This window comes from Homo sapiens, chromosome 16, assembly GCF_000001405.40.
Source record: "Homo sapiens chromosome 16, GRCh38.p14 Primary Assembly".
In the NCBI taxonomy this organism is placed as follows: Eukaryota; Metazoa; Chordata; class Mammalia; order Primates; family Hominidae; genus Homo; species Homo sapiens.
Window position 1 is genome coordinate 14,213,929 of NC_000016.10, and position 27,921 is coordinate 14,241,849.

At 40.2% G+C, this 27,921-nt stretch overlaps 1 protein-coding gene across 33 annotated transcripts in view; it reads left to right on the top strand.

Annotated features, from left to right (window-relative positions):
• The window catches only part of MRTFB (myocardin related transcription factor B), a 272,006-nt gene that overhangs the window by 219,155 nt on the left and 24,930 nt on the right, over positions 1–27,921 (top strand). For 31 of the 33 annotated variants that reach the window (XM_047434393.1, XM_047434392.1, XM_017023501.3 and 28 more), the window contains 4 exons: positions 3,198–3,359; positions 4,892–5,070; positions 20,218–20,355; positions 26,309–26,556. In XM_047434393.1, coding sequence (XP_047290349.1) covers positions 3,198–3,359; positions 4,892–5,070; positions 20,218–20,355; positions 26,309–26,556 — 727 coding nt within the window. Of the gene's footprint in view, positions 1–3,197; positions 3,360–4,891; positions 5,071–20,217; positions 20,356–26,308; positions 27,498–27,921 lie in introns of those variants that run through there. The other 2 variants (NM_001365415.2, NM_001365416.2) reach the window with 1 other exon arrangement.

A 27,921-nucleotide genomic window follows, 5' to 3' on the forward strand; every position in this document is an offset into this window, starting at 1 on the left:
ACTTATTAAGTCATAAAGAATGCAATAGCACAAGTCTAACCCTAGATTTTCAACTACTTGGACCTTGTCTGTGTCTAACTGTACAGTGCCCACACCCAACATTTTCTCTTTATTGCCACTTACCCACAACAAGCCACCTTGAGCTGACCATTAGCACCTCCCATCCACCTCCGCCAAATGATCTCAGTCATCTAACCTCATCACTTACGAGGCTGGTAAGGACAGTTCCATTCCATCTTTGGTTAACACATGGGTCAGGCCAGGATGTTTTTCTCTCTAAAGGCAAAGCATTCTCGAAAGCTTATACCTCCACCATCAACTCCCAAGTTACATTTTCTTTCATTGTTTTGCTTCTCCAACGAATTTATTAAGACTAGGAGCTTGATTCTGTGGTAGTCTTGGGTGTGTTAAGTATTGAGAAGATACAGAAACAATCTGAAAACTTCTCAGACATTGAGAGACAATTGTCAGGTAGAAGGGAGGTTTGTTCTCTGGGCCTAATGATAGGATTAGAGTTAGTATTAAGTTAGGTTGATATTACCAAGTATTAGATTATAACTCAACATAAGAAGTAATATCTTAAAGGTCTGACATGTCCAGAAATGAAATCTTCAGGAGGTGATATGGCTACCATTGTTAGAGGTGTTCCTTCATTGGCCAGTGTGCTAGACTCCAGAGACCCAACAAGTGAGCGAGACAGATGGATGCCTGACTTCACGGAGCTGGCAGTTCTATTTTTGCTAATAAACAAGCAAAACAAGTGAATTACAGATTGTGAGAAGAGCTCTGTGGGGAGTAAACCGACTGCTATGATAGAGAAAAAACTCTCAATATTAAGGATGTGGTAGAGAACTTCGAAGCATCAAGGTGGTCTCTATGACCCCAAGTAGGGGCTCTTCTATTGTAAAGAATCTTTGATTATATGGCTGTCCTCCTCATTCCAGGGGCAGGAGGTGAGAGGTATGTCCCTTTCTCTACTTTGGGTTGTGTTCTCAGAAGTCCGCTGGACTAAAAAGGCTTTTCCAGAACTCCAGTAGTAGGGTAGAGCAGCTACCAGTCAGGGATAAGTGAATCTTCAAAGAAGCAAGTTTACTGGTAAGTAGCCAAGTAAGTGGTTGCTTCTTTGCCTGAAAACATCTTGACCTATAAGGGACATTTTTGTAGTAACAATGCTATCTGTTTCAATTTGCCTTCTAACTGTAACAAGCTTTATTGATATAATTAAAATCAAGGAAAATACATTTAACTCTCAAAATAAATCTTTTTTTAAGACTACCCACCATTTAAAAATTTAACTGTATTTATGAATTAACCATAAGTGATGTTTTTAGGACATCTGTTCTCAAGTTGGGAGTTTTGAAATAAGAAAGAATGTCATTTTATTTTTTGAAGTATCTTAAAACCACCACCACTCCCAACTGTATTTTAACATTAACCCGATTTTGATTGGATTAGATATTTGGCAGGCAAGGGTCTAAGTTACTTCCTGAAGTTCAGCAGCTAAACTTCAGCCTCAGTCATGGAGATAGAGGAATAAGACCAGGAACAGAAACATAACAAAATTCCAGGCTCTACTTACTTACTTACTTGGGAATATTTTCTTTCCATACATATTGCTATCACTTCGGTGATGGTAATGTAAGAGAGGAGAAAGACAGAAGTCTGTCCTACCTAGATCTTAACCAGAGGCATTGAAATATCAACCTGAGAGTAATTCTTATGTTCTGATTCTCCCCAAGTATCATCTTGTATGGTTAGAAGTGTTATCTCAGAAGATTGGGGCCACAGTTGGTTGTATGGGAAAATGATAAAAATGAGATGAACACACATTTTAACTTGTAGATGTCTACATTTATTTACCAATATTCCAACCTTGTGCTAGGGCCTTCTCTTTGGGTAAGACTTTAATGAATGGAGTTCACATCAATCGGAGCTTTAAAATCCTAGATGTTGCAATCTTTTTCTCAAATTTCTTACAGTTGTTAATTGCCCAAACGAATTTGACAGTGATTTTTTAAATGACTCAACCTTTATCAAATCTTTCCAAAGCATTTAAGTTTCCAAGAAATAAACATTTTATTTTTGAAGTTTTATCATTTTCTCATAACATTTAGTTAAATTATGTATTCGCAATAGCGGTCACAACAGATATGAATCATTTTGTGGACAATCAAGGCTCACTTTTGGCAAGCATACAGCTCAGCTGGTGGATAGAGAAGCTACACAGATGTGCTGCAGGGTAACCTCCTAGCCATGTGCTTTCAGTGAGCCTTGGGCTTCACAAGAATAGTCTATTAATACCTACAGACTAAAGAATATCAGTTCATCCTAAGCCGACTTATGGGGAGTTTCATTGAAAGACCTTCTACTGTATAGCTTAAGAGGCAAGCAACTTTCAGCTTGGAATTTTGGGTAGACACCACATCATTATTTTTCATCATTTCTAAACATTTTTTAGAACAATGGAAAAAACATTAACAAGAGTTACCAGAAACACAAGTATGACAGAATAAAGCAGATGGATGAATTATGGTATTTATAGTTTTACATTGGTTGTACCAATTTTATGCATTTGTAAGTAGATGAGTTGATGCCTGTATACAACCATTAATTACTGTATATTATAGTTGAATGTTCCTAACAGACACAAGGATATGTATTCAGAAATAAACCCAAATTCTTAATTATGATGACCGACCGAGACACAGGGGATCAATTCAAGAATATGAATGATAGCTCTTCCCATTGACCTCTGCAGAGAAGCTTATAACCCTAAGAGGCAGTGTCTCCCTTCTAAGAATTGACTTTCCAATGAAGCCAAATCCAGAACTGTCAACTTCTTGAACCATGGGCCACATCCGTCTTGCCCATCCTCTGTATCCCCAATACCTAGTAAATGTGAATTTGACCCTCCTGCCATAAACAAACAATAGCAGTGCCCCACTTTTGGTTTAAGGTCCTGTTAATTTGAGTCTGTGGGCATCCAAATTACATAGACAAAGTAAAGCTATCCAGAACTAAAAAATACAAAATGCATACTGGAGAATTCTTAAACAGTCATTTTCTCTTTCCATAAATATGTCGAGAACACAAAAATGTGTCTAAATCAGTTTAAATTCAGTTTGTTGGCCTGAAATAACATTATGGAATAGAAATAGTAATTCGAGTAATGGTTAAAACTGTGTTTCCTCTTTTAGAAACATTTGCAGAGCCATCCCTGCAGGCTACTCAGATGAAGTTGAAAAGAGCTCGACTAGCAGATGATCTGAATGAAAAGATTGCTCAAAGACCTGGTCCTATGGAGCTGGTAGAGAAAAACATCCTTCCTGTGGACTCCAGTGTTAAAGAAGCAATTATAGGCAAGACTCTAAAAATTTACTATTTGGGGTGAGAAAGAGAAACTTGGAAATTTTAGATAAAACAAATATAATTTAAAGGCTAGCACCGATCGTGAGTATTGTTTTCTGGGTTAATTAGAAATTAACACAGTGATTTGTGTTACTATCATTTCATTATGTATTATAAGTCTAGTATCTGCCGCTGATTAACAGATTCCCTTGTTAGGTCTGAGTTTTAATTCTTAACATTCTGATTTCATCTCACCTTTTGGGGTCCATCTCTTTAGGACTGCATGGAATCATGGTTGATTGTACTGCTTACAGTTCTTGACTACAAATTGCCTAAGCTTTAAAGTCATACCAGTGCAAAATAGGAGGTCCCCAGGGGTGATGAAAACTACAATAGTTTTTAAGATAGGATATTAACTTTTCCAAATTGCTTGCTAAGTAGCATTATTATTGAAATAATTTTCTAAGTTAAACTTATTTAGTTTAATATTTTTACTAACTTTTTATTTCTGTCTACTTCTAGGAAATATAAATAGCATGTTCAGTGTTAGTTCAGGAAGGTGAAGAGCAGATGAGTACAGAATGGTAGTATCTCTCTGTTTTATCCTCGTCTTACCACACTTAGTTACTGATGTTTCTCTTTTTGTTTCTGGCGTAAGCTTTAGCAGAAAAACAGAAAAAATCAGGTGAGATGTCAGTGTAGCTGGGTTGCTCCCTAAAGTGGGAGCGTATCAACATACACCCAGTCATGGCCCCATTTTCCTCCTTGTCACGTTTTTTTGTTTGTTTGTTTTTCTTTTTTGAGACGGAGTCTGGCTCTGTCTCCCAGGCTGGAGTGCAGTGGCACAGTCTTGGCTCACTGTAAACTCTGCCTCCCGGGTTCATGCCATTCTCCTGCCTCAGCCTCCCAAGTAGCTGGGACTACAGGCACCCGCCACATGCCCGGCTAATTTTTTCTATTTTTTAGCAGAGACGGGGTTTCACCGCGCTAGCCAGGATGGTCTCGATCTCCTGACCTCATGATCCACCCGCCTCAGCCTCCCAAAGTGCTGCGATTACAGGCGTGAGCCACCGCACCCAGCCTGTCACGTGTTTTTTTAACAGTTGGATTTCCTGTCAGGATCCAAACAAGGTCCACACGTTGCCTCTGCCTGATATTTCTGTTAAATCTTAATCTATTGGGTGGATCTTTTTTTTTTCTTATTTGTTGAGAAAAAGGCTTGTTTTGTTCTCTAGCATGTCCCACATTCTGGATTTTACTGATTGCATTTGCATCCCCAGGTGTTAAGATTCCTGGCGCTTGTACTTCATGTAACTGGTAGTTGAACCCAAAGTCTTAATCTAATGCAGGTTAGATTTTTCTTTTTCACTCAAGAATACATCATGGTTAGTGGTGTGTTCTTGCACTGGGAGGTACATTGTGTTCAATTTTTTTTTTAAGCAGCTTCATAAATTTTCATAGGAAACAATGTTTTCCTCCTTCACATTAAGCTTGGTATTCCAAAGCCAACATAAGTCAAGTCAAAAATCATTTCTTTCTTTAGGCGTTGGGAAGGAGGACTATCCCCACACTCAGGGCGATTTCTCATTTGATGAAGACAGCAGTGACGCTTTGTCTCCGGACCAGCCTGCGAGTCAGGAGTCACAGGGGTCAGCCGCGTCCCCAAGTGAGCCAAAAGTTAGTGAATCGCCATCTCCTGTGACTACAAACACTCCAGCGCAGGTATTATCTTTCTGGTTTTGACCCCTAAAGAAAGAAAATGCCTTGTTTTTTTTTAATATATTAAGGTAATACACTTTGACCAGAAGAAAATTCTGAATTGAATTTAAATTGATTTATTAAGCAAAAAGCAGGCACTTAACTGCCCTCCAGGAAGGTAATAAAGATTTCCAGCCACTATGTCTTCATCACAAGTAGGTAATACCATTTCCTGAAATCTTGGAGAGTTGAATGTTTTGATCATTGATGGAACTGAATTTGTTTGTTCAACAAATACACATTGAGCACCTATTATGTTTCAAATTTATTGGGAACTGAGAATCTAGTGCATACAAAGGAATGTAAGAAATATTTTGGTAATTGCATTGGAAATTTACATGTCTTTTAATGGGTGTCCATGTTTCCTTTGGCTTTATAATAATTCTTGTGCTGTACATAATTTTTCTCTCCTTATAGTGCTTTTGCCTTACTGAAATTTTAATAGTGTTATTTTAAAGTCAAAACTATTGAACTACTTAATGGGAGTGATCAAGTCAGCAGAAAATGTTCTTGATAAGCCTGGCATCATAGAATTTTTGAGTTAGAAAGGAATTTAGCAATTATCTGCTTTAACCCTTATACAAGAGGCAGTCTGGGTTCACAGAAGTATGGAAGTTTGGGGATTAAAAATGCCCATTTTCTTACAGCATTTCTTCTCATTCATGACCATTGATTTGTTAGGAGCTATGTCTTTCAGCATTATTTTCTTCATTGCATTTATCACCATGATCTGAAATATGTTTATTTGTTTGTTGTCTGTATGCCTGCAGCTAAAATGTGAGCCTATGAGAGGGACTTTGACTGTTAGCAGATAAGAGCTACTTTGGAGAGGGAGGGAAGGGGAGAGAGAGCAAGTATATTTTGAGCATCTAGTACAGGGCTTGGAACAGAAAAGGTGCTTAGTAAATGCTGACTTGAATTCAGCACCTTGAATGCAGACTGACACAATGGTTGTGGAAGCTTGTTTCTCTTCTCCTTCCATGTGAATGTAGAGCCGCTACAGCTTGGACTCATCAGTGGTAGTGTGGATGGCTACAGTTCCGATTGTCCTCTCCAAGTTCACAGGGCAGGGGTGATCCTGGCCTAGAAGTAGTATGAGGGTCAGTGACCAACCCACAGTCTGAGGTTTGAGCAGGCAGAAAGCGAGAGCAAGGGAGACTAAACCCTACTGTGTTCTCACATATTTGCTGCACCCTGGTTTTGAGCTTTAAAAATTCAGTAAAAAGAATGTCAAGTATGCAAGTAGATACCATTAACAAACAGTTACACTTATCCATTTGGGTTGTTTGTTCTCTGCTACTGTTTTGAGTAGGTTAGGATGTCAGACAGCAATTAGCATGGCCTTAACTTTTAGTAATACAGAATGTGTCACAACAGCCATCAGTTGTTTAAATTCCATGATCATTTCACCTGCATGAAAGATTATAATTCTCTTCCTTGTATTGCTGGTACTACTGTGTTTTATTTCCATACTCTTAAAACGTGGTCTCCAGCTAAGTTTTTAATTGAGACGCTTTAACAAGAGGCATTCCCACACAGTGAGCTGACATTCCAGAATTCCTTGAAGGAAAATAGTAATAACAGTGTTTCTTGAAGAATAAATATGGTCTGTTTATTCCCAGTGCAACACACATTAAGCCTTGGGTCATTCCTGAATTTAAGCATTAGTTTTCGTAGTACCTTCAGTGCTGCTGCAGTACAGTTCTGCCTGTTACATGCAGACCACATTAACAGTCAGCTTTTTATCTGTCAACTAGGGCGATGGGAGAAGACCCACTTTACAGGATGTTAACAGTTCCTATGTATACATTCAAGAAAAAAAACCTGGAGTCAGGGTTGGCTCCACTGTAGCTTTGCCTGTTAAATCATTTCTGTCCTATGTGCCTTGAGACCTCTTAAAATTGTGGCCTTCATGAAACCCCCTTGTATTAAGTGTTCTAGTATTTATAAGTAAGGAATCTGACAAAGATTCTTATTATACTTTTATTCATGTAATTAAAGAAGCATGTCCATGGTAACTATGCCATACAGATGTCAAAGAAAGATAATTCTTAAGTAGGATTATTAATACGTTGTAGGTGCTTCGTTTTGGTTTCTTTTTTTAATTAACTACAGAGGCGAACTTTATGATGCTGGTAAAGTCTTGGGGATTTTTATGTCATCTAGAGGTGATAAGTTTTGTTTTGGCAAATTTTATACTTTATTTTCACTGTTATCCAGTGTTTGGTTATAGAATTTGCCCAGGCATCTCACTTGATGTATATAAAATATATTTATCTACCTAAATATACTTACTTTCATATTCGTAGCCCAAGGGGAAAGGACCTTGACACATTGCTTCTCCTTAGACACAAAGTTCCTAGAGGACAGGGATTTATCTTAGTAACCTCATACTCAGCACAGGGGTCCAGCACACAGCAAGTACTTACTTTACTTAACTGATTTAATGCATGACAGATCCTTGGAGACTCTCTCTGCAGTCTGTTTTTTCCTGCTTTAGAATTACCATCATACCACTGCCACAAAGACGAGCTATGACACAATTTACTAAAATGTGCTTGTAAAGCAAGATAATAAAAGAGCAACATACACGTCTTGTCTTTCAGGGGTTCTTTGAGATTCTTAATTTTTAATCTTGAAAATAACTCATTGTAAGAGTTTGATGGTAAATTTCATTGCTGTTGACCAGTCCTCGAATTGGCTGTAGTGGAGGACTAGCTTGATTTTTTTAGATATTTCTTTCCTTTTTTTTTTTTTTTTTTTTTGAGAGGGAGTCTCACTCTGTCACCCAGGCTGGAGTGCAATGGTGTGATCTCAGCTTACTACAACCTCTGCCTCCCGGGTTCAAGCGATTCTCCCGCTTCAGCCTCCCAAGTAGCTGGAATTACAGGCACCCGCCATCATGCCCAGCTAATTTTTGTATTTTTGTAGAGACAGGGCTTCACCATGTTGGCCATGCTGTCTTGAACTTCTGACCTCAGGTGATCTGCCCACCTCGCCCTCCCAAAGTGCTGGGATTACAGGAATGAGCCGCCGCACCTGGCCCATTTAATTTTCGATGCATGTGGACTAATCCTTGTAAAGTACAAGTGGTGGGGTAACATCAAATTTCTATATGACTTTCTAACTGGTCACAGGCAGGTAACAGAGGTCCACAGACCATACTTTGAGTGAAATCTCTGCCTTAGATTTCACTTTCCTTCTTGTTTGCCTGAGCCAAATTTTGTCATGTATTTATTACTCATTTTGTGCTGCATGTTTAATCCTATGGCTTAAAATAAGCTATCCAACCTACAGCCCACAGGCTGCATGCGGCCCAGGACAGCTTTGAACGCAGCCCAACACAAATTCATAAACTTTCTTAAAACATTATGAGTTTTTTTGTGTGATTTTTTTTTTCTTTTAGCTCACCAGCTATCGTTAATGTTAATGTATTTTATATTTGGCCCAAAACAATTCTTCTTCCAGTGTGGCCCAGGGAAGGCAAAAGATTGGACACCCCTGGCTTAAACACATTTTTCTAATTTCCCTGTTTAGGTTTTTTTTTTTATTATTATTATTCCTGACTGAGGCAGGGGGCAGTGGCTCAGGCCTATAATTCCAGCACTTTGAGATGCCAAAGTGAGAGGATCACTTGACCCCAGGAGTTCAAGACCAGCCTGAGCAACATAGCGACACCTTGAACATCAGTGATCATTAAAGAAATGCAAATCAAAACCACAATGAGATACCATCTCATGCCAGTCAGAATAAAAGTCAAGAAACAACAGATGCTGGTGAGGCTGCGGAGAAATAAGAACACTAGAAATAGGGAGAGGTGGCTGTTTTTTCACATGCCAAATTTTCAACAAAAGATACAAAGAAGGCAGGCATGATAGCACACACCTATAATCCCAGCTTACTTGGGAAGCTGAGGCAGGAGGATTACTTAAATCCAACAGTTCAAGTCCAGTCTGGGCAACATAGCAAAATCCCATTTAAAAAAAACAAGGCAGGGTGCAGTGTCTCAGACCTGTAATCCCAGCAGTTTGGGAGGCCAAGGCAGGTGGATTGCTTGAGCTCAGAAGTTCAAGACCAGCCTGGGCATCATAGTGAGACCCCATCTCTACTAAAAATACAAAAAGAAATAGCTGGGCGTGGTAGTGCATACCTGTGGTCCCAGCTGCTCAGGAGGCTGAGGTGGGAGGATCACCTGAGACAAGGGAGCAGAGGTTGCAGTGACCCAAGATCATACCACTATACTCTAGCCTGGATAACAGAGCGAGACCCTACACACACCCCCACAAAAAAGAAAAAGAAAAATATGACCATTCAGGGAACAAAATAAATCTCCAGAAACTATCTTAGAAGAAACACACATATCTGCCCTACTGGACAAAGACTTTAAAGTAATTATCTTAAATATACTCAAAAACTAAAAGAAAGAAAACATGGACAACAAACTAAAGGAAATTAGGAAAACTATATATGAACAAACTGAGAATGTGGTAGAAATTATTTTTTAAACCCAAACAAATTATGTAATTGAAGATATAATGGAATTGAAAAATTCACTAGAGGCTTGAACAGCAGACTCAAACAAGCAGAAGAAAGAATCTGCAAATGGGAAGGCAGATGATTTGAAATTGAGTCTGAAGACAAAAGGAAAAAAGAATGAAGAAAAGTGAACAGAGACTTAAGAGACTTATAGGACACCATCAAGCGATCAATGTATTCACTATGAGAGTTCCAAAAGGAAAGAGAGAAAGGGGCAAATACAGTAATTAAAGAAATAATGGCCCAAAACTTCACAAATAGGAGGAAAGACATGGATATACAAATACAGTCATGCTTTGCTTAACAACAAGGATACATTCTGAGCAAAGCATTTGTAGTAGTCAGTTCTCACACCACTATAAAGAACTACCTGAGACTAGGCAATTTATGAAAAGAGGTTTAATTGACTAACAGTTCCACGGGCTGTACAGGAGGCATGGCTGGGGAGGCCTCATGAAACTTACAGTCACAGTAGAAGGGTGAAGGCAAAGCAAGCATGTCTTCACATGACAGCAGGAGAGAGCGAGCGAGCACAGGGAGAAATGCTACACACTTTCAAACAACCAGATCCCATGAGAACTCATTCACTATCATGAGAACAGAAAGGGGGAAGTCTGCCCCCATGATTCCCACCAGGCCCCTCTTCCAACACTTGGGGATTACAATTTGACATGAGATTTGGTCATGATTCAAATTATATCAGCATTGTTTGACAGTTTTGTTGTTGTGAAACATCATAGAGTATACTTACACAAACCTAGATGGTATGGCCTACTACACCTACTACAGTGTGCCTTTACAGTGTAAATGGTTTTTTTACTACATTTACAGTGTAAATGGTTTTTTAAAATACTACACCTGTATAGAGCAGCTCCATTATAATCTTCTTATGTGCAGCCCATTGTTGACCACAATGCCTGTACAAGAAATTCAATAAACTCCAAAGACACCCGCAGGAACGCACATTATAATCAACTGTCTAGAGTCAAATAAGACAGAATCTTAAAAGCAGCAAGAGAAAAGTGACTGGTCACCTACAAGGAATCCTCAATAAGACTATCAGTGGATTTCTCAGTAGAAGCCTTGAAGACCAGAAGGCAGTGGGATGATATATTTAAAATGGTGAAAGAAGAAAACAGTCACCTGAAAATTGTATATCCAGCAAAATTGTTTTCAAAAATAAAGGAGAAATTAAAACATTCCCAGACAAACAAAAGCAGAGGTAGTTTATTACCACTAGAATTGCTCTACAAGAAATGCTAAAAAGAATCCTTCAATCTGAAGTGAAAGGATGCCAGATAGTAACTCAAAGCCATATGAAAATATAAAATTGGCTGGGCACGGTGGCTTACACCTGTAATCCCAGCACACTTTGGGAGGCCAAAGCGAGCGGATCACCTGAGGTCGGGAGTTCAAGACCAGCCTGACCAACATGGAGAAACCCTGTCTCTACTAAAAATACAAAATTAGCCAGATGTGGTGGCGCGTGCCTGTAATCCCAGCTACTCGGGAGGCTGAGGTAGGAGCATCGCTTGAATCCAGGAGGTGGAGGTTGTGGTGAGCCATGATCGCGCCATTGCACTCCAGCCTGGGCAACAAGAGCAGAATTCTCATCTAAAAAGAAAAAAGAAAAAGATAATACATGGACAAATATTAAAACAGTATTATAATTTTGGTCTGTAACTCTACTTTTTTTCCTACAGGATTTAAAATACACATTCATTAAAAATTACAAATCTATGTTAATGGCCACACAGTATATAACAACGTAGTTTGTGAATGATGTCAGTAACATAGAGGGGGTGAAGCTGTAAAGAAGTAGCATTTTTTTATGTGACTGAAGTTGTTATCAATGTAAGATAGAATGTCGTAATTCTAAGATGTTATTTGTAATTCCTATGGAAACAAACAAAAAATCCGTAGAATCTGTGAACAGGCATATGCAAACCTACCCCCAAAAGCTGAGGAAGCTCAGAGGCCAAAGAAAGAGGCTGACAAACCCAGTTTCTCAGAGAGAAATATTTTATAGGAACTTAAAAACAGAAGCAATGTCTTGGGTGGCTGTCCACACCTGCCATCCAGAAAGCATTCATTCATTCATTCATTCATTCATTCATTCATTCATGCCTGGCTAATTTTGTAGAGACAGGGTTTCGCCATATTGACCAAGCTGGTCTCGAACTCCTGAGCTTAGAGAGTCTGCCCACCTCAGCCTCCCAGAGATATTCTTTATATAGCAAGCTTTTAGGATAAAACATGTGCAGCTGGTCACATCTTCAGACTTTCTTGTCAGGACGTGACCACTGGGGAAGTTTGATAGCATCTTTATGAGGGGTTATCTATGCCATAGGCATTGTGTAAAGACCTTACTGCAGAACACCTTGCTGTGGAGGGGCCAACCACCAGTCATCATGGTAGTTTTGTTTCAAGATGGCATCAGACACTCTTGGCCATGCGACAGGCTATTTTTCAACAATGCAAAAGGAGAGGAGAATGGAATCAAAACAAGGCACTACAAAGCATCAAACACAGACATCCTGTGTTCATGGAAGACTTAATATTGTTAATATGTCAGTGCTACCCCAAACAATCTACAGATTCAGTACAGTTCATATCAAAATCCTAATGTTGATTTTTGCAGAAATAGAAAAATCTTATGGAATCCTGAAAAACCAAAACAGTCTTGAATTTTAAAAAAGTTAGAGGTCTCATGCTTCCTAATTTCGAAACTTACTACAAAGACACAGTAATTAAAACAGTGGTATTGGCATAAGATAAATAGAACAGTGAGCCCAGAAATAAGCCCTTAGATATGGGATCAAATGATCTTCAACAAAGGTGCCAAGACCATCCAGTGGGGAAAGGATAGTCTCGTCAACAAATGGTACTGGGAAAACTGGATATCCACATGCAAAAAAGAATGAAGTTGGACCTTTACCTAACATCGTAGGCAAAAATTGACTCCATAGACAAAGATCTAAATATAATAACTAAAACTATAAAACTCTTAGAAGAAAATGTAGGGGAAAGCTTCATTACACTGGATTGGTTTCTTGGATATGACACCAAGGCAGCAAAAGAAAAAATAATTTGAGGAAAGAAATCTTTCCTCAAAACGTTTTGGCCAGACATGGTGACTCACGCCTGTAATCCCAGCTGTTTGGAAGGTCACAGCAGGAGGATCCCTTGAGGCCAGGAGTTGAAGACCAACCTGGACAACATAGTGAGACCTCATCTCTACAAAAAATAAAAATTAAAAAAATTAGCTGGGCATGGTGGCGTGCACCTATAGTCCTAGCTACTCCAGAAGCTGAGATGAGAGGATGACTGGAGCCCAGGTTTGAGGTTACATTGAGCTATGAAAGCACCACTGCACTCCAGCCTGGGGGACAGAGCGAGAACCTGTCTCTTAAAAAAAAAAGAAACAAGAAAAAAACTTCAGTGCATCAAAGGACATCAACAGAGTAAAAAAGCAATCCAAAAAATGGAAGAAAATATTTGCAAATCATATATCTTATAAGGATTTGCTATGGTTTGGATGTTTGTCTCCTTCAAACCTCATGTCAAAATTTGATCCCCATTGTTAGAGGTAGGGCCTAATGGGATGCATTCGGGTCATGGGGGCAGATCCCTCATGAATAGATTAACAGCCTCCCTTAGAGATAAGTGAATTCTCACTGCATTAGTTCCCGTGAGAGCTTGTTGTTAAAAAAACAAAAACAAAACAAAAAGAAAGAAAGAAAAGCCCAGCCCCTCCCCGCTCTCTCTTGCTTCCTCTTTTCCCCTGTAATGTCTGTACACTGGCTCCATTTCCCCTCCCACCATGAGTGGAAGCAGCCTGAGGCCTTGCCAGATGCACATGCTGGTGCCACGCATCCTGTACAATCTGCAGAATCGTGAGCCAAATAAACCTCTTTTATAAATTATCCAGCCTCAATTTTTTTTTGTTTTGTTTTTTTGAGATGGAGTCTTGCTCTGTTGCCCAGGCTGGAGTGCAGTGGCACAATCACGGCTCACTACAACCTCCACCTCCCAGGTTCAAGGGATTCTCCTGCCTCAGCTTCCTGAGTAGCTGGGATTACAGGCATGCAACACCACGCCCAGCTAATTTTTGTATTTTTAGTAGAGACAGGGTTTCACCATGTTGGTCAGGTTGGTCTCAAACTCCTGACCTCATGATCCAACTGCCTTGGCCTCCCAAAGTGCTGGGATTACAGGAGGGAGCCACCACGCCCTGCCAAATATTTTTTAAAAGCAGTCCAAAACAGACTAAGACAGGACTAATATCTAATGTACAAAAAGAACTCCCACAACTCAACAACAAAAAAACTGTTCAAAAATGGGCAAAGGTTTGAATGTGGTTTTTGTTGCAGTCTATCTTAAAAAAAAAAAAAAAACAGGCAAAGGACTTGAATAGACATCCTTCTTAAGAGGATATGCAATTGGCCAATAAGCATCTAACAAGATACTGGATATCACTAATCATTAAGGAAATGCTAATCAAAACCACAAGATACCACCTCATGCCCATTACAATGGCTACTATCAAAAGAACAAAAAATAAGTTTGGAAGAATGTGGATAAATTGGAACTCTTGTATACTGTTGGTGGGAAAGTGAAATGGTATAGCCACTGTGGACAATGTTCAGTCCTCAAAAAATTAAACTAGAATTGCCAAATGAACCAGCAATTCCACTTCTGGGTATATGCCCAAAAGAAAACAGGGCTGGGCGCAGTGGCTTACACTTGTGATCCCAGCACTTTGGGAGGCCAAGTTGGGCGGATCACAAGGTTAGGAGATCGAGACCATCCTGGCCAACATGGTGAAACCCTGTCTCTACTAAAAATAGAAAAATTAGCTGGGCGTGGTGGTACGTGCCTGTAATCCCAGCTACTCAGGAGGCTGAGGCAGGAGAATTGCTTAGAACCCAGGAGGTGGAGGTTGCAGTGAGCCAAGATTGCGCCACTGCACTCCAGCCTGGGCAACAGAGCTAGACTCCGTCCCAAAAAAAAAAAAATAGAAAACAGAAGTTAGATCAGATATTTGTATATCCCTGTTCATAGCAGCATTATTCACAATAGCCAAAATGTGAAAGCAACCCAAACGTCCACTGCCAGATGAATGGATAAACAAAATGTGCTATATTTATACGTTGGAATAGTATTCAGCCTTTAAAAAGGAAGCAAATTCTGCATTCCGTCATTGATGAAACTCTAGCTCATGTTCAATGAAATTCAGCCAGTCACAAAAAGACAAATACTGTGTGATTCCACTTATATAAGATTCTTAGAGTAGTAAAAATCATAGAGGCAGAAAAGAAAATGATGATTGCCTGGGGGTGAGGGGAATGTGGAACCAGGGGGACATTGTTTAATGGGTATAGTGTATTGCTTGGGAACATGAACAAGTCTGGAGGTTCCGGTAGTGATGGTTGCAGAACAATATAAATGTAATTAATGCCATATACTTAAAAATGGTTAAATAGTAAATTTTGTGTTATATACATTTTAGTATAATTTTTTAAATGCACTTTTAAAGCAGGGATACGTGCAGATCCTCACTACCAATCAGGTCATCAAGTACCCACTGAACGTCCACTAGATTCTGTGCAAGGAAATTCACTTTTAATATTCACTTACTTATTCTAAAAGTGAAATGCTTAAACTTATAGGAACAAATAGTCAGTGCTAGGTGATACATTTTAACAAAGCTAGAGTTTTACGTAAAATATTCATCTATTAAATATGCAATGCGTGATTTTTGTTTTATTCAACTCATTTTTCATTTTATTTGGGGATTAGAATATGAAAACAATATTTAAAGAGTAATTGCATTTTGCCATCTTAGTTAAGAACTCTGCTGCATCCTAAATTAAAAACATTATTGACTTAAAATCTATAATACAAAAAAGCTTTGTTTTTAAATACCTAGTTTCTGTCCCTCAAGACCACATAAAGAAATTCTAATAAAGAGGAACAGTCCGGAAGCAATGACTGGCCCTTGTCCTGTGTACCATATTCTGCAGCAGGAACAGTGCAGACATCTGAAACAGGATAGAGCTTTAATCAGCTGAGAGGTTTGCTCTGACTTCTGTTTTTTTTATATTGTAGCAAAGCTTTCCTGTAGCCATTTCTAGTAGGAGAAAAGTCAGTCTTTATGATCAACAGTGCCTTTTTAGTTTTTTTTTTGAATGCATAAATATCCATTAAAAACCATCTTTCTGACATTTTCTTGTATGGGTTTCTGATGAAAATTAAAGATCTGGCCCTCGTGAGACCTGTAACCTGTAATGGAAACAGTGGTCAGATCCAATAAGACAAAGCAAAGTTTGCAGCTTTTTTTGTTTCTTTGGGGAAACAATTCAATCATTTTGAAATTAAATTTTTGTAGAACATAGGTTGAACTTAGGTCTCGGCAGCAATTTAAACCTATTTATATTTTAAATAATAAAAGTATTCTTTTGGATTCCCTATTTAATAAATGGTGCTGGGAAAACTGGCTAGCCATATGTAGAAAGCTGAAACTGGATCCCTTCCTTACACCTTATACAAAAATTAATTCAAGATGGATTAAAGACTTACATGTTAGACCTAAAACCATAAAAACCCTAGAAGAAAACCTAGGCATTACCATTCAGAACATAGGCATGGGCGAGGACTTCATGTCTAAAACACCAAAAGCAATGGCAACAAAAGCCAAAATTGAGAAATGGGATCTACTTAAACTAAAGAGCTTCTGCACAGCAAAAGAAACTACCATCAGAGTGAACAGGCAACCTACAAAATGGGAGAAAATTTTCGCAACCTACTCATCTGACAAAGGGCTAATACCCAGAATCTGCAATGAACTCAAACAAATTTACAAGAAAAAAACAAACAACCCCATCAAAAAGTGGGCAAAGGACATGAACAGACACTTCTCAAAAGAAGACATTTATGCAGCCAAAAAACACATGAAAAAATGCTCACCATCACTGGCCATCAGAGAAATGCAAATCAAAACCACAATGAGATACCATCTCACACCAGTTAGAATGGCAATTATTAAAAAGTCAGGAAACAACAGGTACTGGAGAGGATGTGGAGAAATAGGAACACTTTTACACTGTTGGTGGGACTGTAAACTAGTTCAACCCTTGTGGAAGTCAGTGTGGTGATTCCTCAGGGATCTAGAACTAGAAATACCATTTGACCCGGCCATCCCATTACCGGGTATATACCCAAAGGACTATAAATCATGCTGCTATAAAGACACATGCACACGTATGTTTATTGAGGCACTATTCACAATAGCAAAGACTTGGAACCAACCCAAATGTCCAACAATGATAGACTGGATTAAGAAAATGTGGCACATATACACCATGGAATACTATGCAGCCATAAAAAATGATGAGTTCATGTCCTTTGTAGGGACATGGATGAAATTGGAAATCATCATTCTCAGTAAACTATCACAAGAACAAAAAACCAAACACCACGTATTCTCACTCATAGGTGGGAATTGAACAATGAGAACACATGGACACAGGAAGGGGAACATCACACTCTGGGGACTGTTGTGGGGTAAGGGGAGGGGGGAGGGATAGCATTAGGAGATACACCTAATGCTAAATGACGAGTTAATGGGTGCAGCACACCAACATGGCACATGTATACATATGTAACTAACCTGCACATTGTGCACATGTACCCTAAAACTTAAAGTATAATAATAATAAAATAAAAAATAAAAATAAATTAAAAAAAGATTCTGACATATTGCTGAATTTACTGTGGAACAAAATAAGTTTAAGTATCTCTTATGGCCTGAATACTTTAACTTTTATTTTAGGTTCACAGGTACTTGTGCAGGTGTGTTATATTCGTAAATTGTGTGTCACAGGGATTTGATGTAGATTCTTTTGTCACCCAGGTACTAAGCCCAATACTCAATAGTTATTTTTTCTGCTCCTCTCCCTCTTTCCATCCTCTACCCTCAAGTAGGCCCCAGTGTGTGTTGTTCCCCTCTATGTGTCCATGTGTTCTCATCATTTAGCTCCCGCTTGTGAGAACATGCAGTATTTGGTTTTCTGTTCCTGCATTCGTTCACTACTGTAATGGCCCCCAGCTCCAGGCCTGGATACTCTTTTAATCCTTTTTGGAATACATCACTTCAAAATTACTCACACTTAGATTCTTCTGCTAACTTTAGCCACTAGGAGCCTGACCCCTTGATACGGTCTAAGTGGGGTTTGGTACGGGAACGGAGGGGCTTTTGTTGTGTTTTGGTCCTTTCTAAAGCACATTAAAATGGCTGGCAAAATTAGAAGTTTTGATATATTTATCTTCAGATTAGGTAGAGTCAACAATCACTGTATTTCAGTTGGGTTATTCTTGTGTTATGCTGGAGTCTGGTTTTCTGAGTAGCAAAGTCACACTGAAATACCAAAAGAGCTAATAAGATAGGCACAGTCTAGAAATTTAGGCAAGACATCATAAATATTACATTTGATACTACATCCATGCTCCTGGGTTATTTTTCATGTGATTAACACTTACTGCTCTCAGATTCATCACACTATCTTCAGTCACTGGGGGCTGGACTGGTAAAATAGCTTGCCAGGTAAGGATTTATATGCAAAGAAATCTATATAGAGATCAGAATTCAAACATTTTAGTCTCTTTCACATACCAGTTACATAATAGCCAAGGAATGTTTTCCCCTCTGTGAACACTGACCCAGAGATAAGTATCCCCATTTCAAAAAAATATGCAAGATGAAAGGAAAACCAACCACGTAAAGTCATATTCAGTAAAGAAGTGATCAGCTAACATCTTCCACTTTATGTATGAGGCTTGGTTGGTCGGAGATTCACTGAGGAGCCAGATGTCTCAGGGCTCTTTGCGGGCAGAAGTCTGCTGGAACACAGGTGTCCATTCTCTTAGATGAGCCCTTTCCCTTCATGTCTGTTTAAAAATGAAATTGAATGCAGCCATCTTTCAAAGTAAGGTCCTTCATATTGTCAACACTCACAGTTACTAATAACTGAAAAGCTGAAATCAGCAGCTGAAACCTCAGGGAGCGAGAGAGCTGACAAGGGCATGCACGATTAATTGCACACTCGCACACCCACGGTCTCAGCGGGGCTTGAGAACGTGACCCAGTGTGAGTAAAGCCAGAAGAAATGCCCATTCATCAATTAAACAAATATTTGTTTGAGTTAACTAGTATGTGCCAAGCTTCATATTTCATGCTGCTAATAGCCCTCCAAGTTTTCAGGTCATTTATTTTAAGGAGGAAAAATACAGTTTGCTATTTTAAAATGCAAATACTTTAACAAGATTTTGATTGTTGGTGTAGTGAATTTAAGAGTTGTTCAGGGAAGTGGAAGTGTTAAAGGAGGACATTTTTCCTTAAGATAAGGGTGGTGTAAGTAAGTCCAAGTAGTAATCAATATGCAAATTTTGACTAGTTTATTACAATAGTAATTGTTCTTTACAATAAAATACTTAAAATCTATGTAAAGTAGATTGCTAGTGAGAATTGATAAAACCTAGTAACGCCTTCTGTAGCTTCCTTTGTTAATAATATGTGACTCCAAACTGAGATTCAGCAATTGTTAATTTTGGCCTGGGTAACAAAGTAGCTTCTTGTTTTAACTATGGAGAGATAATGTTGTCGGTAAAACAGATCAGTCTTACCAAAATATATTCTTCAAATCTTCTGTTGCAAGAAATGGGGGAATATGGTTAATGAGAGTTCTAGTCAGATTTGGAGAGAGGAACAGAGGGTGTAAAGCACATTTATGGACACATGGGTGGCATGGGCATTCGGGAAGGATGCTGCCGGAGGGTAGGTCGAGTGTGATGCAGGGAAGCCTGAAGGTCGTGTTTGGATCAGCCAGGGTCAGCATGACCTGTATAGCAAAGGGACTTTATGAATACCATGTATTGACCAGGCACAGTGGCTCATGGGTGTAATCTCAGCACTTTGGGAGGCCGGGGCAGGTGGATCACTTGAGGTCAGGAGTTCAAGACCCAGCCTGGCCAACGTGGTGAAACCCGCATCTCTACTTAAAATACAAAAACTAGCGGAGTGTGGTGGTACATGCCTGTAGTTCCAGATACTTGGGAGGCCAAAGCTGGAGAATTGCTTGAACCCAGGAGGCAGAGGTTGCAGTGAGCCAAGATCACCCCACTGCATTCCAGCCTGAGTGAGACTCCCTCTCAAAAAAAAAAAAAAAAAAAAAAAGAATGCCATGTATTGTTTTGATCATATATACAAGTGTCTTGGACTTTTCTTTCCCTGCCAATAAAGAGTGGGTTCTGACTGTCTTTTTGAGAAAATACTCCAGTATCGTCAGTCTACCTTACTTGGCTTTAGTTATTCACTGCTCTTAAAGACTAAATGATTGGCTCCACTGAGGCGTAAAGCATGTTATTCCACCATCTGGCCTCAGACATAATCATATATTTTTCCTTTGCTTCTTTTCTAGTGGGCTTAAAAACCAGGTCATTCCCTTGTAATTCTAATTTTTCTGTTTTTATGATCATTAATTTCACAGACTTGTTCCTTTTTGCCTTTTCCACCAGTTTGCTTCAGTGTCCCCAACAGTTCCTGAATTCTTGAAAACTCCTCCAACTGCAGATCAGCCTCCCCCACGGCCTGCAGCTCCTGTCCTCCCCACAAACACTGTGTCCTCAGCAAAGCCTGGCCCAGCACTGGTGAAGGTGGGTACTTTGGATACACCCTGGGTTTGGTGGCTTTATTTGTGACTCTGTCTATAACCCTGTGAATGGAAGACAAAGGCATTTATCCAACTTGCTCAGCCTGCCTTTTAGCCCAAAGTCTTAAAAACTAAGCCATGCAAAGACTTGCTAGACTGGGGTCTTCATGTTTGAAATTGTGCTATAGTCATAGAAAAATGGCACAAATTTTGGTCTACTTAAAACACTAGGGGCTGGATGCAGTGGCTTACCTCTGTAATCCCAGTGCTTTGGAAGGCTGAGGCAGGAGGACGACTTGAGGCCAGGAGTTTAAGAACAGCCTGGGCAACATAGCAAGACACTGTCTCTACAAAAAATTCAAAAAGTTAGCCAGAGGTGGTGGTGCATGCCTATAGTCTCAGCTACTCAGGAGGCTGAGGCAAGAGGATCACTTGAGCCCTGGAGTTTGAGGCTGCAGTGAGCTGTGATCACACCATTGCACTCTAGCTTGGGTGACAGAGCAAGACCCTGTCTCTTTAAAAAAAAACAAAACCAACTACTGGGGCTACGCAGAAAGCCCTGGTTCTGCCACCCAGGCCACTAAGATGAAACAAGAGAAAAACAGATTTAAACTTTTTAGAATTGTGTTTAGAACTTCTAGATATGGTGGGTGAGGAGAATAAAGTGAGGAATAGTTTAGGTGAATATAGATCTCAAACTTTTAAAACTAAAAAAGGATATTACAGTTAGCTAACTTCTCACCACCCTTCAGATGGGGAGACTGAGGCCCAAAGAAGAAATGACAAAGCCAGGAAGGGTCCCAACCTCCCGAATCCAAGTCTAGCTCTCTCCTGCCTCCCCAACCTGTTGCAGAACTCTTCTGAGGCAAGGGAGCATCTTTCAGATGAACACAATGCATATTCCTCACGGCCCTAAGTCGCCGGGACTGTCCCTGTCCTTGACCTTTCTGGAGAGAAGGCCCTTGTCAGCGTGGCCGAGTATTGGTGGCTTCAGGACATACATCAGTGTGTTTCCCCATCTTCTGTTGCTTAGCATTGGAGTCGGAAATTCCAGAGGGTTGCAAGTGGCAACCATCCCCATGAAATCAGTTTTATACCTCCTCTCCCAACATCCCCACGCATGCAACCCCGACGGCACAGAGGGTCTGCGTGCACAGCCCTCCTTCCCTGCCGATCCTCAAACGGGTTCTCTGCCTCTCCCTCTCTCTGAATGTCTGCTCTTCACTGATGTCTTTAAGGAAGGCTTTGGTTCTAGAGGAAGAAGCATTGTTTAAGAATGTGAAATTCAGGGGTTGGTTAGATAATTCTAGGACTATGCCAAGAGAGGAGGGGACAGGAACACATTAGGAAACAGACCAGAATTCTTCCAGTGTTTCTATAAGGAAAGCTGTTTCCCATCCTTCACTTGTGGGGGCTGATAGGTAGTAGCAGATTCCATCTGAGGAACACTAGTTATTATGTTTCTGTGCCCCTCCTCTACAGGTGCCTTCCTGACAGTGGCTGGGACAATTATTTTATCACTCTACAACGATTATACTCGAACCGCATTTTGAGTGTAAATTATCCTAGACCCCGTTCATTCTTATGATCAGTTTTAAAAGACTAAAAATAAAATGTATAGCCAGGTGCAGTGGCTCACGCCTGTAATCCCTGCACTTTGGGAGGCCAAGGCAGGCAGATTGCTTGAGCTCAGGAGTTTGAGCCAGCCTGGGCAACATGGCAAAACCCCATCTCTATAAAGTGTACAAAAAAATTAGTTGGGCATGGTGGCACACACCTATGCTCCCAGCTACTCGGAGGCTGAGGTGGGAGGATCACTTGAGCCCAGGAGGTTAAGGCTGCAGTGAGCTGAGATCATGTGCCTGCACTCCAGCCTACTCCAGCCTGGGTGACAGAGTGAGACCCTGCCTCAAAAGCAAATAAATAAAATGAATTATTGATAACGAAATAAGAAGGTAAATAGCTAATTGATTAATATTGTGGGATTGAAGGAATAAGTGGGGGAAAGTGTTTTCTGACATCGAGGTATATACCTTAAGTGCCTGATAATTAAAGTGATTTCCAATTAGCATGCACATTCACGATTCATTTGTTGAACGGATACTTATTCAAGCACCTTCTATGTGCCAGGCACTGTTCTGGGTACTAGGAATAGATAAAGCAAGGAACAAAAGATCACAAATCCCCACCCTTAGGGTAAACAGACAACCAAATAGAGAGTGTGCCGGGTGGTGATGAATAATGTGATGATGGGGGTGCTGGGGAGATAAGGAGAGACGTGTCTTTTAAATGAGGTGGTCTGGGGATACGCAGATGACATTTGGACAGAGATCTGAAAGAATTGAGGGTGTGAGCCATGAAGATATCTATCTATGGGAAGAAAATTTGACCAAGGCAGCCAGTATCACTCCAACAGCAATGGCCGAGGCAGACAGGGTGTGGCCAGAGACCAGCGTCTGTAGAGCCTTGTAAGAAGTTAGGCTTTGTATTACTGCTAAGGGAAGGAGCTGCTGTAACATTTTTGAGCTGATATGTTAGAAACAGTAGGGCGCAAAGGTAGAAGCAGAGACAGGTAAAATGCACAGCAGGAGACAGTGGCAGCTGGGGAGATAACAGAAGTGGTTGGATTCTGGCTGCATTTGAAGGCTAAGCTGCCAGGATTTGTGGACAAGTTGGATATGTGGTGTGAAGAAGAGGAGTTGTGAACCATCTACTGTTGTGTGTCTAAGTGACTAGCAACTTGCAGTTGCCACGTCCTGTAATGGAAAGGAGTACACCTGGAGTGTGAGGTGCTGTGCAGGCACCGCGTGATGTCCTAGAGGCAGCTGGATAGATGAGTGCAGACCTTAGGAGAGAGGTCTAGGTTGGGAATAGAAATGTGGGTCATCGGTGTATAAATGGCATTTAAAGCCATGAAACCCGGTTAAATTACCTAGGGTCTAAGTACAGGTGAAAAAGCTGTGCAAGAAGTGAGTTCTTGGGAACCTCCAACATTTTAGAGAGGAGAACCAGCAAAGGAGACTCAGCAAAAACAGCTAGCAAGAGTGAGGCAAGGCAGCCCTGAAGCCAGACACGATGTTTCAAGAAGAAGGGAGAGGGCAACTGTATCAAAGGCTGCTGTGCCTCAGTTAAGATGAGTGCTGGGAACTGGCCTCGGTTTAACGTTGAAGCACAGTGACCTTGACAAGAACAGTTTCTGAAAGCTTAGTTGGAGTGGGCACAAGAGAGCCTGAAAGGCAGAGCTGGAGATGGTATTATAGAAAGCTTTTCTTGAGAGCCCACAGAAATGAGTCTGTAGCTTGATTAGACTGTAGGGTCAAGGAAGGCTGTTTGTGATCCAGTGGGAGTGATCCAGGAGAAGAGTGGGGAACCACAGCCAGGTGTGGGCAAGGGAGTACAGAAACCAGTTGAGTAGGGAAGGGCCAGCCTGAGACAGCAACACCAGCAGGAAGGAAAACGCAGAGTCTCGGTGCAGGCAGGCACTCAGCTCTGTGCTGATCACTTATACGTTCTCAATGTTTAGGCAGTGAGGTCATCAGTTGACAGTGAGGATGGGGGTGAAATACTATAGGTTTGGAGAGAGAAGAAAAGATAGACAGTATTCTGTAAGAGTAGGAAAATTAAAGGACCAGAAAAATGTAACAGGATGGCCACGTAGCACTGATGAGCCCTTGAAGTTGGTGGTCACAAGTTTAAAGTGAGACTTGTCAGCATGGTTTTATGTTTTTCCTGTAGCCACTTTCAGTTATATGAGTACAGGCATGAAGTGGACCACTGGTTCTCAGCAGGGGTAAGTTTGCCTCCCACCACAGACATTTGGCAATGTCTGGAGACGTTTCTGGTTGTCACAATGCGGGGGACGAGGTGGGTGGGTGGAGGTTGCTAGGGGTATCTAATGTGTAGTGGCCAAGGATGCCACTGAACATCCAACAGTGCACGGGATGGGCTCCCACAACACAATTACTTAGCTCAAAACATCAGTAGAGACACTGTCGAGAGGCAGAAGGAGACAGAATTAGGTAAAGGTTTTGCCAGGTGTCTATGACAAAGGGGGGGACTGTGCAAGTGAGGGGACCGTGGGATATAGCTTGGTAAGGAGGGAAGTGAGGAACATGTAAAGGTTGTAACAGAAAAGGATTGTAGGTCTCAGTGGCATCAAATAATTGTTGTAGTTGGCATCCTGGATGGAGTGAATTGACAAAATACGTGGTGGGTATCAGAGATTGGGATGCTGGGAAGCGAGGGAGGTTCAAATAATTACAAGATCTAGGCTATCATCACACAGTGACTGGCTGAGAGAGGAGATGAGATACCTGGAAGCAATGAAGTCGAGGAACTAAGAGACCAGAATGTTAGAAGGATTGTACATGTGGATATTAAAATCATCAAGAACAGTCACTAAAGTTATGTTGAAGAAAGTAAAGAGCATTGGGATTGTCATATGTGTCGTAGAAGTCAGTAAAGAACTAGGAGGCCAGGTCCTGATGCTCAAGTCTGAAAGCATGAGATGAGATTAACAACCAATCATTTCCAATACATAATTACTTTTTATAAATTCTTATTTACCAGTGTTTAAAAATAGGCTCCTAGTTAATTGGATTATATTATGTCCAGTAGTATGCCGGTAAATGTTTAATAACTGGCTGGGCTCAGAGGGCAGATTATAGCCTTTGCCAATTCCCATGGTGTAAATATTCCCACAGTGGCCAGTTTCAGGCTACCGGTGTGATATTGCTGAATGCACAATTGGGAGAAACAGCACACGTTTGGTTCTCATGAGTAAGAGCTGGCTCCAGCACCCCGCTGGCTATGTCCGTAAACTGTTATGTAAAAATGGCCATAAAAATCTTGTTGCAGAATCATTCTTTTATACCAGGGATTTAAGAATTCATGACATGTCAGATGAAGAGAGAAAGGCACATTTCTAATAAGCATATATGGTATCATCCCAATTATATTAAAACATATCCAAAGGAAGGATATAAACAAGAATGTTAATAGTCACATTCTATGAATGTTAGAATAGCCTAACATTAGAAATGAGACTATTCCTAACCTGCAGAATGCAGTGAGTTTTGTTTTATTCTTCTTTGGTTGCAGTGTCCTAATTCTTTGGATATGAATATAGATAATGTGATCATATCAATAGCTCCATTTAATTGAGTACTTCTCAAAGTCTTTGTATTAAGTTGGGTATGTTCCCTACAGAAGCTTAGCAATACTTTCGTATATTTTCTTTTTTGTTTGTTTGGATGGGTTTTTTTCAGATGACGCTATCTTAGAATCTGAATACTGAAAAGTATAAAGTGATCTGATAACTTAAAAACTGAGAAGACAACAAGACCTCAGGAAAACATCATCTGATTCCTAATCTTGAGATGAGGGATACATGGTCTCACATCCCAGTTTCAAAGGAAAAATGTAGTATTTGAAAAATTTTCAAATTCATGTTCATATCATTCAGTATTTGTTTTTGTATTATATTGCTTAAAGATAGTTTATATTGTTTTCTTCTCATTGGAAGCATTTTTTCATTTTTACATATTCTCCACAGAATTTTTAGGTATTACATGGTTTTGGTGAAGTATACTTAACCTTTTCCCATTGTATATTTAGCATGCAGCTTGTTTTTTACTAGGAGATTGTATGTGTAAGCACTTGGTAGTGTGTTCACACGGGAGACCCAAGGTCAGCGTGCATTGAGTTTGAACAGCTCATGCTGAGCATCTTGCCCATACCCTGAGGGAACAGTGCAGCAGGAGAAAATTTATTGGTCAAAGTTAATATGCAAACGTTTTCATGGCTTTTGAAACGAATTTAGCATATTGCTTTCCAAAGTGGCTGTACCCGTATCTAAGGTACATTTCTTTTTAATTTCAAATCATTTAGTCACGCAGTACAAAAGATTTTATGTGGTGACATCTCTTTAAATGTTATTTTCTTTTTCTCAAAAATAGCAAAGCCATCCCAAGAATCCAAATGACAAACACCGTAGCAAAAAGTGCAAAGATCCCAAACCACGGGTAAAGAAGTTAAAGTACCACCAATACATTCCACCAGATCAGAAGGGTGAGAAGAATGAGCCGCAGATGGACTCTAACTACGCCCGCCTGCTCCAGCAGCAGCAGCTGTTCCTGCAACTGCAGATCCTGAGTCAGCAGAAGCAGCACTACAACTACCAGACCATCCTGCCTGCACCATTCAAGTACGGCGGGGCCCATGCTATCCTCAACGCGGGGTTTTCTGTGGTTTTTTATGAGGAACTATAAGTTACCAAAAGTTGAATGTTGTCATTTATTTGTGCTCAGTAATGATTTTCATTTCTTTGTTATCAGAGCTTATCACACAGTGTCTGAAGTCCACATGGTGAGAGTGGCCTGCATTCCATTCCAGTTTCTGTCCTCCAAAATAGGTTCTGAATTTTTACAAGTTAGAAATGCCTTTTCACAATTATTCATCCAGATTTGCCTATTATTAGAACACCAAAATAGTACTAGATGCTCTGAGAAAAGCGTAAGTAGTATAATACCTGGCATAAACAGCTAAAAGAAGAGAAGGATGGGCATGAAAGCTGGAGTGGTCAAAGGAAAGCCTGGTGGAAAAGACAGGATCTTTGTATATAGAAGGCTCGAGAAGGGCCTTTCCAGGCACAGGGGAATGCTGTGAGCACTAGTACAGAGGAAGGAATAGAGTAAGTAGTGCCTCTTCATTGGAAGGTGAGAAAAATTGCCTAAACAAAGAATCTGATTAATTTTTAAGTAAAAAGTGGAAGACAAAAATCGAGTACAGCCAATGTCTAAGGGGACTTGAAGCTGGGCAGAAGACCTTACTCAACACAGCAGATAGACAACGGAGTGCTTCAGAGCAGGCTGCTGACGCAGTGAGGCCAAAATATAAGAAAAAACAGCTGGATGCTGGTGTTGAAGGGACGTCTGGAGACAATGAAGAGCTCTGGCAGCAGAGTGAGTGTTTCAGAAGACAGTTAAAGGCCTTGGTGACGAACAACTGCGGAGAAGGAAGGTGTTTTCAAAGTTTGAACCCAACTGTGGGGGACGGAAGGGAGTGAATTCTGACAATTTCTGAAACTGAATTCACAGCAAGACATCAATGGCTAATTTTAATTACGTAATAAAGAAAATTTCTGGATATACATTCCCAATATGCTTTTTCTGGGAAACAGAGATAAAAATGCAAAGATCTTGTCTTCATTTTCCTCACTTTTCATGAAAAAGAAATATTTGCATTTAACTCTAGAAAGAGATGCAAAAGCTCATTATAATGAAAAATTATTAGCCATGATCAGGTTATTCAACTTATGATTATACGACCTGTAGAAACTTCTGCTTTCTACATGTCGCGTAAGCATTCCCTCATAGGTAGCCCCTCTTTTCCCTCTTAAGATTCAAATATCTTGAGGAAGATTAAACCTATTAGTAATTCAGACCTGATTGTGAAGTACTTAAATCTAAAACATCAGGGCATGGAGATGAAGAGAGAAAGAACTTTGTATCCAGTTACTATTTTAAGAGCAGGCAGGCCCGAGTGAGCTATTGACATTGGAAGGGAATCA